Here is an 11,151-nt window from a genome sequence, read left to right as displayed (position 1 = left end):
ATGAAAAGAATTCTCTCTTAGGACATAGGCACATGACTTATGACCAGGTTGCTCTTTCGAATTTTTAGAGAAACTCTCAGATACATGATATAAACTCACATTTACAAAAAAATTTTTCTGAAAAATTTCAAAGTTTTACATCATGAACGTTTAAAGACTTTGTCCAGGACTGGCAGAAGACCGAATATACTAAGAGCAGGTTGATGGCAGGAAAAGGAACGAGCTGAAACAAATTATGCCTCTTTCTACAGGAAACAAAGGGCAGTTTGTTGTGAGACTGATAATTGTTTCAAGCAATCAGGTGTGGAGATGCAGAAGGGAAATAAGAATGGGATATCCTAATGCAGTAAACAATCCACCCTACCAGATTAACAAATACAAGTCATACAATAGACTATTTCAGTGATAACTATCCCACATTAATGTGTGTGGGTGTGTGTGTGTGCATGCACAAAGGCACGCAGGTCATAAAACAAAAAACTTCCAGGAAAACTTGAGGGACTACCATAACTTAAATCCAATGATTTTTCCATCAGTCTTACTCTTTTTGTTATTGTCAATTCAATGAAAGCAAACAAACAAAAAATGTTTTGCGGGCATGATTTTATGACAGGCATTAGACAAGATTGAGCATACAAAGTTTAATAAAACAAAGACATTACTCTATGAAAACTTGCAATTTAGTGGTATGAAGGCATCTCTATCCTCAAGTTTTAACTTTGAAACATTTAACCATAAGCACAAAATAATATACACCATTAAATTCTTCTTCCTGAAATATATTTATTTATTGCTCTTTCAGCAAATGTAGGAGAGTGATAGACGGTCTCAGTCTTTGTTTGAGAATGTCGATTGTTTTCCTTCATTCTGTTATAATAGTTTGGATGGTATGGAATTCTTAAGTCACATTTACTTTCCCTCCACAATCTGAAAATATTCATTACTTTCCTTACTTCTCTTGTTGCTTTTGAGAATCTGCTGTTGCCTGATGTTTGTTTCTTTGTAGGTAAATTATCTTTGTATGTGATTGCTTTAAAAAATTTCTCTTTGCATTTATTGTTCTACAGTATCACTTCAATATATACACAGAATTGACCCTTAAATAACACAGGGTTAAACTAAGTAGGTCCACTTATGAGGAAGTTTTCTTCTGCCTCTTCCACCTTTGAGACATCAACACCAACCCTTCCTCTTCCTCCTCCTCCTCAGCGCTACTCAACAATAACAAGGAGGATGAAGACCTTTATGATGATCCATTTCCACTTAATGAATAGCAAATATATTTTTCTTTCTTATAATTTTTTTATTATGCTTTAAGTTCTAGGGCACATGTGCACAACATGCAGGTTTGTTACATATGTATACATGTGCCATGTTGGTGTGCTGCACCCATTGACTCATCATTTACATTAGGTATATCTCCCAATGCTATCCCTCCCCACTCCCCCGACCCCATGACAGGCCCTGGTGTGTGATGTTTCCCTTCCTGTGTCCAAGTGTTCTCATTGTTCAGTTCCCACCTATGAGTGAGAACATGCAGTGTTTGGTTTTCTGTCCTTGCGATAGTTTGCTGAGAATGATGGTTTCCAGCTTCATCCATGTCCCTACAAAGGACATGAACTCATCATTTTTTATGGCTGCATAATATTCCATGGTGTATATGTGCCACATTTTCTTAATCCAGTCTATCATTAATGGACATTTGGGTTGGTTCTCAGTCTTTGCTATTGTGAATAGTGCCACAATAAACATATGTGTGCATGTATCTTTATAGCAGTATGATTTATAATCCTTTAGGTATATACCCAGTAATGGGATGGCTGGGTCAAATGGTATTTCTAGTTCTAGATCTTTGAGGAATCGCCACACTGTCTTCCACAGTGGTTGAACTAGATTACAGTCCCACCAACAGTGTAAAAGTGTTCCTATTTCTCCACATCCTCTCCAGCACCTGTTGTTTCCTGACTTTTTAATGATGGCCATTCTAACTGGTGTGAGATGGTAGCTCATTGTGGTTTTGGTTTGCATTTCTCTGATGGCCAGTGATGATGAGCATTTTTTCATGTGTCTGTTGGCTGCATAAATGTCTTCTTTTGAGAAGTGTCTGTTCATATCCTTTGCCCACTTTTTGATGGGGTTGTTTTTTTTTCTTGTAAATTTGTTTGAGTTCTTTGTAGATTCTGGATATTAGCCCTTTGTCACATGAGTGGATTGCAAAAATTTTCTCCCATTCTGTAGGTTGCCTGTTCACTCTGATGGTAGTTTCTTTTGCTGTGCAGAAGCTCTTTAGTTTAATTAAATTCCATTTGTCAATTTTGGCTTTTGTTGCCATTGCTTTTGGTGTTTTAGCCATGAAGTCCTTGCCCATGCCTGTGTCCTGAATGGTATTGCCTAGGTTTTCTTCTAGGGTTTTTTTGGCTTTAGGTCTAGCATTTAAGTCTTTAATCCATCTTGAATTAATTTTTGTATAAGATGTAAGGAAGGGATCCAGTTTCAGCTTTCTACATATGGCTAGCCAGTTTTCCCAGCACCATTTATTAAATAGAGAATCCTTTCCCCATTTCTTGTTTTTGTCAGGTTTGTAAAAGATAAGATGGTTGTAGATGTGTGGTATTATTTCTGAGGGCTCTGTTCTGTTCCATTAGTGTATATCCCTGTTTTGGTACCAGTACCATGCTGTTTTGGTTACTGTAGCCTTGTAGTATAGTTTGAAGTCAGGTAGCGTGATGCCTCCAGCTTTGTTCTTTTGGCTTAAGATTGTCTTGGCAATGCAGGCTCTTTTTTGGTTCCATATGAACTTTAGTTTTTTACAATTCTTCAAAGAAAGTCATTGGTCCATTTTCTTTTATCTAGTTTATTTTAGAATACAGTATATAATAATACATATAACATAAAATACATATTAGTTGACTGTTTATGTTATCAGTAACACCACAGTAGGCTATTAGTCATGTTTTCAGGAAGTCAAAAGTTATACATGGATTGTTGACTGCATAGAGATCGGCATCTCTAATCCCAGAGTTGTTCGAGGGTCAGCTGTAGTATGGATTTACTTACATTTATTCTTCTAAAAACTTCGTTAATCTGAGAAATTTTTTTTAATAATTCTAGAAAACTCTTAGCATTATCTCTTTGAATATGATCTATTCACTATTGTCCCCTTTTCTTCTTTTAGAAATTATATTAGACAAATAAAAGTAAAATGTTCAACGCTTTTACTTTAACTTGTACATTTTTTTTTATTTTTTTATTTTTTTGAGACAGAATCTTGCTCTGTCACCCAGTTTGGAGTGCAATGGTGCGATCTTGGTTCACTGCAACCTCCGCCTCCCCAGTTCAAGCAATTGTCCTGCCTCAGCCCCCCGAGTAGCTGGGATTACAGGTGCCCTCCACTACACCTGGCTAATTTTTGTATTTTTAGTAGAGACGGGGTTTCACCATGTTGGCCAGGCTGGTCTTGAACTCCTGACCTTAGGTGATCCGCCCGCCTCAGCCTCCCAAAGTGCTGGGATTACAGGCGTGAGCCACCGTGGCCGGCCTATATTTAAAAATTTTTAAAATATTCTCCATAGCTTTAATTTTCTCTTCTGATTAATTTTGTGGGAAGTTTTCCTTCCAGATAGCCAATTCTCTCTTTAACAGTGTTGAATCTTTGGACCAATAATGGAATAATATTTTCAAAGTTCTGGGAAAAAACAATTGTCAACTTATAATTCTATACCAGCCAAATAATTACACGAATGTGAAGACAAATTAGACATTTTTGGATAAAGATCAAGAGAATTTACCACTTTTATACACTTACTGTGGGGAGTATCCATTGAATTATTCACTTAAATTGTTATTTCTAGAAGTTTTACTTTATTATTTCCCAAATGGCCTGTATTTTTCTTGGAAATTTGATTTTTAAGTTTCTGCCTTGAATCATTTTAAACATGCTCATTTTTATTTTATTTTGAAAAACTCCATCATCTAAAATTTGTGGGGCTCTAATCACTATTTAATGTTCACTGACTCTGTCATGGTACATTTTTCTCCTGAATAATTTTAAAATGTTTTAAAATTCTGACCACATCTTTGTTATTATTTTTTTTTCCTACGAAACACTTGTGGGAATACACCTCCGGAATATTCTTCCATCTTCAATCAAATTTAATATTAATTTTCTTGCTTGGACACACATGGACTGTGTAATCAGTAAGGATATGCCAAACAGAGTCTATTTTCCAAATATATATTTTCAAGAACACAGACAAAAGTTACAAAAATTAGTCAAATTCTGGGCCACAAAAATAACTCATTACAAATTTCTCTGACCTCTTGTAATTCAATTAGAAGTAAATCACAAAATGATAACTAGTAAATCTACCTATGTTTGAAAATCAGGCATTTCACTTCTAAGTTACCAATGGCTTTAAAAAGAAACTATGACAAATTATAAAATATTTTAACTGAATGACAATGGCAATGTGATAAATTAAAGTCTTGTGTTATACGGTTAAATAAGAACTTAGAGAAAATGTTATGTCCTTAAATGGATATTAAAAATGAAAAAAGCATAATAATCAATGATCTAAACATCAATCAAAAAGCTAGTATTAAGCCCAAAGAAAGTAGAGAGAAGTTACTAGTGCGAACTGGACAGACAGAAATCAAATATGAAGCAAACATGCATTGTCAATGGATTAAGAAAGCCAAAATCTTTCTTTAAAAAATGAGTAAAATTGGTGAACCCCTACTGAGAATTCTCAAAATAAATTAAAAGTCACAAAATGATCAGTATCTGGAATAAAAAGGAAACATTATTACTGATCCCTCAGATAGTAAGAAAATAGTAAAGGATTATTATGAATAAATTAATGTCAAATATGACATTAACTTGAAAATGTAAAGGAAAAAAACACAATCCTCACTCAAAAAGAAACAGAAAAACATTGAGTTCTTTATTCTTAAAGAAATTGAATAAAAATTAATACCTTCTTACATAGGAATGAAATGCAGGAAAATTAAAATGAGTAAAATGTTAAAATAAGTCTAATGTTTAATATTGGTGTTAACTTGATTGGATTGAAGGATGCAAAGTATTGTTCCTGGGTGTCTGTGAGGGTGTTGCAAAAGGAGATTAACATATGAGTCAGTGGACTGGAAGAGGCAGACCCACGCTCAATCTGGGTGGGCAGCATCTAATCAGCTGCCAGCGCAGCTAGAATGAAGCAGGCAGAAAAAGGTGAAAGAGCAGACTAGCTGAGTCTTCTGGACTTCATCTTTCTCCCATGCTGGCTACTTCCTGCCCTCGAACATCGGACCCCAAGTTCCAGCTTTTGGACTCTTGGACTTACACCAGTGGTTTGCCAGTGGCTCTCGGGTCTTCATCCCTAGACTGACGGCTGCACTGTCAGCTTCCTTACTTTTGAGGTTTTGGGACTAGGACTTGGCTTACAGATGGACTACTGGGGAACTTCACCTTGTGATCGTTCTGTCCCTCTGGAGAACCCTGACTAATAAAGTAAGGTATTTCTGAAATGCAAGGGTTTCAATATTGGAAATTCAATCAATATAATTGACCATATTAACAAAACAAAGAGCAATATAATTTTCTGCATTGATAGATGTGGAAAAAGCATGTGATAAAGTTCAATATCAATTCATAAGATTTCTTAGTAAGCTAAGAGTAGAAGGAACTTCCTTAATATGAAAAAATACGCATAAAAATCCTACAAGAAACATACAACATAACAGTGAAACATTGAAAAATTTCCAAGATAAGAAATAAGAAAATGATATTCAATACCATAATTTGTCCTCTTGATGCACTTACCAGCACAATAAAGCACAAAAAAGAACAAAAGAATAAAATTAGAAAGGAAAAAATAAAACTGCCATTATTTACATGATTGTATGCACGTGGAGCAGAAATCTACAGATAAATTATAGAATTTGTAAGTTTCACAGATGTTAAATATAAGCATAACCTTGACAAATCTATTGCATTTCTGCATATAACAAGCAAACTATGAAGTAAAATATTTTATCAATTGCTAAATATCAAAAATATAAAATAGCTAGGAATAAATCTGATAAAATGTGCTTTTGATAGGTACAGAAAAATCCATCAAACATTATTGAGAGACAAATAAATGGAGGGATATGCCAGGTTGATGTACTGTGAGCTTCTTTACTATAAAGGTATCAAATTCCTCAAAGGGATCTACAGATTCAATGGAATACCAATTAAAATCCACATGACAGTTTTGTGAGAATCGAGAAACCAGTTGATAAAGTCATGTGGAAATAAAAAGAGCCAAAACCAAGATAATAACGAAGCAGAAAAATGAAGTGGGAAGATGGCTCTATTAATTATTGAGGCTTTGTAAAGCTTTAGTGTTAAAAATGTGGCATTGGAATAAGAACAAATAGAAATATGTAAAAAATAAATGTCCAGAAGCAGACCCTCAGAAATACAGATACTTGATTTATGAGAACTGTGGCTCTATTAAGAAATGGTATATTCAGGAATGATGCTGGGTCAATTGAATTTTCATATGGAAAATGAAAAAATAAGCCCTTACCACAAAATATAGACAAGTCAATTCCAGTGATTGTGAATTTTAGTGTGGGAGTAAAATAATTAAGATTCTAGAAGAGGAAATATATATATATATATACACACACACACATATATATACATATATAATACTCTATATATGTTTTTTATATATTAACATGTATGTATACATGTATGTGTGTATATGTATGTACACACACACAAATATATGTGTACACACACATACTAATATAGGCCTTAGAGCAAGCAAAGATTTTTAAAGAAAGAAGCTAAAAGCACGAATAAAGGTGAAGATAAATAAATTTAATCACACTAAAATCAAACACTTCAAAATATAAATAGAGTGAAAATCTAAGCCACAAAATTGGAGAAGATAATTGCAATACATATAATAGACAGACGGTTAAGATCCAAAATAAATTCACAATACAGGAAATAAGCAAAAGACAAGCAACCCAATAAAAAATGCTCAGAGACTTCAGCAAGATCTTCACAAATAATGCTATTAAAATGACCAGTAGGCATATTAAGGCAATAAAATTCATTTGTTAAGGAAACAAATTAGAACCACAATGTAATAATGCTCCAATATTGGTACAACTACATTGGAAAGACATGACATTATCTATTAAAGTTGAGCATATGCTTAACTTATGATCTGTGAATTCTACTTCTAGATATATATCCAGAAAAAAAAGTTTATGGACCACAAAATACATCTACAAGAATATTCATGCATTATAATTCACAGTGAACACTAACTTGGAAAAAAGTTATCAACAGGAAATTTGATAAATAATTTGTAGTATAATCATACCAAGAATGCAACAGAGTAGCAAAAACAAACTATATCTATGCAAAACTGCATGTATATGTCCATCTAAAAATTCATTGTTGCACTCTTAATCCCCAGTACTTTAGAATTGTGACTATTTGGAGACAGGGCCTTTACAGAGTTAGTTAAGTTAAAATGAATTCATTGGGATGGCCACTAATCTAAGTGGTGTCCTTATAAGAAGAGGAAATTTGAACCTAGGCGTGTACCAAGGGAAGATGATGTGGAGACACAGGGAGATGAGCATCCCCAAGTCAAGAAGAGAGACCTCAGAAGTAACCTACCCTGCCAACACCTTGGTCTCAGACTTCTAGCCTCTCAAACTCAGAAAATACATTTTTGTTGCTGCTTTGTTGTGGCAGCCCTAGAAAACTAACGCAGAAGGGAACAGAAGCACTTCAGAAATAGTAGAGTAAGAATGTCTCAAAATCTGCTCCATAGAAGTAACAGAAGCACTGGTAAAGACTGCCAACATCAGCTTCTCAGAACTCCAGAAATAATCAAAGGCTTGCAACACTCCAAGGAGTGTTTATTCGAGAAAAATTACTAAATATCAGTAAGCAGAGTGAGTGAGCTGTGTGGAGTTTTAACTTGCCCTACTCCCATCACCTTCTCCCCATCTCCATGGTAGTCTTGAAAACTATCCTCCCCATGCCTATGATAACTGACAACCGGAAGCCTAGCAGCCACTGGAGGTGGGAAAGGGGGAAAATGAGTTTGGAGTTCCCTAAAACAGCTGCATCGAAGAGAATTGTAACCATTTGACCTGTCTGGCAGCTTCCTGAAAAACTCCATCTTCAGGGCCTGGCTTTATTTGACTTGACTAGAAATATTTCTGTGCAAAAAGTCCTATTCCCAGGGTTTTTGTTGAAAACAAGAAGCAGGAATTGTTTAACACCACAGGTGCCTGTGTTGTGGATACCAGGTGGGGCTAACAAGAGACTGACTGAGAAAACTTGAAAAACAGAAATGAGATGTCCCTAATCAGCTTCGTCTTGGTCTGTTTGGGCTGCTATAACAAAAATATCATAGGCTGGGTAATTTATAAACAAAAACTCATTTCTAACAATTCTGAAGGTTGGAAAGTTTAAGATCAAAGTGCAGGAAGATTTCACGTCTGGTGAGGGCCCCATTCCTTGTAGATGGTGCCTTCTAGCTGTGTCCTCCTTAGGTGGCAGGGGCAAACAGCTCCCTGGCATTTTTTTGATGTCACTAATCCCATTCATGAAGGTGGAGCCCTCGTGACTTACTCACTTCCTGAAGGCCACACCTCTTGATAGTATGGCATTGGGTATTAGGTTCCAACCCACATGTTTTGGAGGGACACAAACATTCACATCATACTAGACTTTGAAAAGCTCATATATACTCCTGGGAATCTGGAAGGCTACCGGCATATTCAGGGTTGTGCATATGCTCAAGACAGCAGAAGGCCCTAATCTCTCGTCTTTGCCTGACTGTGTGGCTCAGTGCAAGCAAAAAGTAAACACAAGGAATAGTTGTAAACTGTCTGCCCGAGTGTTGAAGGCATAACCCAACATAACCCAACTCCCTTGGCAAATGCTGGGAAGCATATTCATTCAAGGAATTTAAGGAAATCTCTGTCCAATCATTTGCTGACCATCAAACAAACTGAGCAGAGACTTTAATATCTGCACAGCAGGAGCAGGAAGGGCGTATTTCTGTGTGCTGGCCATTTCTTATATTTTGAGTTGGGTGGTTGTTAAACAAGTGTTTTGTTTGTAATTACTCAACAGGATATACCATTATGTCTCATGCATCTATTTGCTTGTGTGTTATATTTTGCCATCAACTTATTATTTTAACAAATGGAAGACGATATAACACCTATGTCAGTCATCTGTGAAAATTAAATGAAATAAAGCAGGTACATACACAACAGAATTCAGCCTTAAAAAAAAAAGAAGAAAATCCTGTCACTTGCAACAACATGGCTGAACCTGGGGGACATTATATTAAGTGAAATAAGCCAGACACAGAAAGACAAATATCATGTGGTCTTATATATAGAAATTAAAAAGCTGAACTCAGAGCTAGCGAGGAGAATGGCGGTTACAAGGAGGAGGGGGCAGTGTTGGGAAGATGTTGGTCAAAGGATACAAAATTCCCGACAGACACGAAGAATAAGTTCAAGAGATCTATTGTACAACATGGTGCCTATAGTTAATAACAATGTATTTTATTCTTGAAAATTACTTGGATAGTAGATTTTAAGTGTTTTCACTACAAAAAAACATAAAAAGCATGCGGGGTAATTTTACATGTTAATTAGTTAAATTTAGTCTTTAAGCAATGTATACATATTTCAAATAATCATGTTATACGTGATAAATATACAATTTGTATTTGTTAAGTAAAAAATAAATTTTAAAAAGGAATGAAACAGAAGGCTTAATCTAAGACCAGCTTTTGTTGAGTGCTCTAAAAATCTCAGCTATTACTAGTAGTAATAGCAATAGTACTTGAAAAGGTCAATTATGATCCAAGAATTTCACCACAGGGCTCATACTGTGGAGAAGCTTTTGTGCATGTTTATCAGATGCGTAAGAACATTCACTACCGTAGTGTTTAAAATAACTCTTGATTGGAAAGAGTCCTAGTGTCCATTTTTAGAAGAATGAGTAGATGAACTGTAGTATTTTCGTAAAGTAGAACATTATATCATGGCAGAAAGGACTAAATTGGAACTGCATATTAGTTATAAGTAATCTCAGAAACATAATATTGAACAAAAACGAAAGTAGGAGAAAGTAATCTCAGAAACATAATATTGAACAAAAATGAAAGGAGGAGGAGAACAAACACAATATGACTCTAGTTATAAAAATTTCAGATACATGGTGTTTCCTTGTTGTTCAGAGATATGAATATGAGTGGTAAAATAACAATAAAGCAAGGAATACAAGCATAGGTAATAAAACAATAAGAAAGCAAGGAATAATTAGCACAAAATTTGAGATTGCTGATACTCTGTTGGGGGAGGGTGGCTGAAGGACTAAGACAGGATGGACAAGCAGGGGTCAGAATCCCAATCAATATTCTCTTTCTTAAGCCGGGTGGTAGGTATACCTATGTTTATTTGATTGTCTTTCTTTGGACATTAGCCATGTTTTAAATATTCCTTTTTATATACTTAAAATTTCATGTACTTCAATCCTTTCTGGAAGTCGAGAGAGAAGGAGCAACAGGGTGTTTGGGAACTAAGAGCAGGGAGGTTTCGCTTGATTTATTCCAAGTGAATGAATTCATTGTGCCTACAACACAAATCTCTCCAAGTGATATCAATATAAGCTGAATAGCAAGAGCATTGAAGAAAAGAATTAAGCCACAAAATCATCACTGCAGAGGATGAAGGGAATGGAAAACCTTGTCCCTCTTCCTTGATTGTGGTAGGAGTAGGGCAAGGAGAAGGTTTGGGCTAATTTTCTAGTATATTGTCTAGATCCTCTTAAAATGAAAGTGGCTTTGCTAGTACCTTTGAGTCACCACCTAATGCATGGGGGGAAACATCTCAAAACATTAGCCCCAGAATTTATTTAAGGACCCATTTAAAATTAATTTAGAAACCACGTTATGTCCTTGCTCCTTTGAGTCATTGACCTAAAACAATTGTTACTAGATTGGTCTCATGTCTTTAAATTTTCCCCAACTTTTATGACTACTGACTCATGGACTATTTGTAAATTGATAATTTGTTCTAGACAAAACACAGGCCCCTTATTTAGCAGAA

The sequence above is a fragment of the Homo sapiens genome, chromosome 10 (genome assembly GCF_000001405.40).
Source record: "Homo sapiens chromosome 10, GRCh38.p14 Primary Assembly".
Lineage (NCBI taxonomy): Eukaryota > Metazoa > Chordata > Mammalia > Primates > Hominidae > Homo > Homo sapiens.
Note: the sequence above shows the minus strand (reverse complement) of the source record.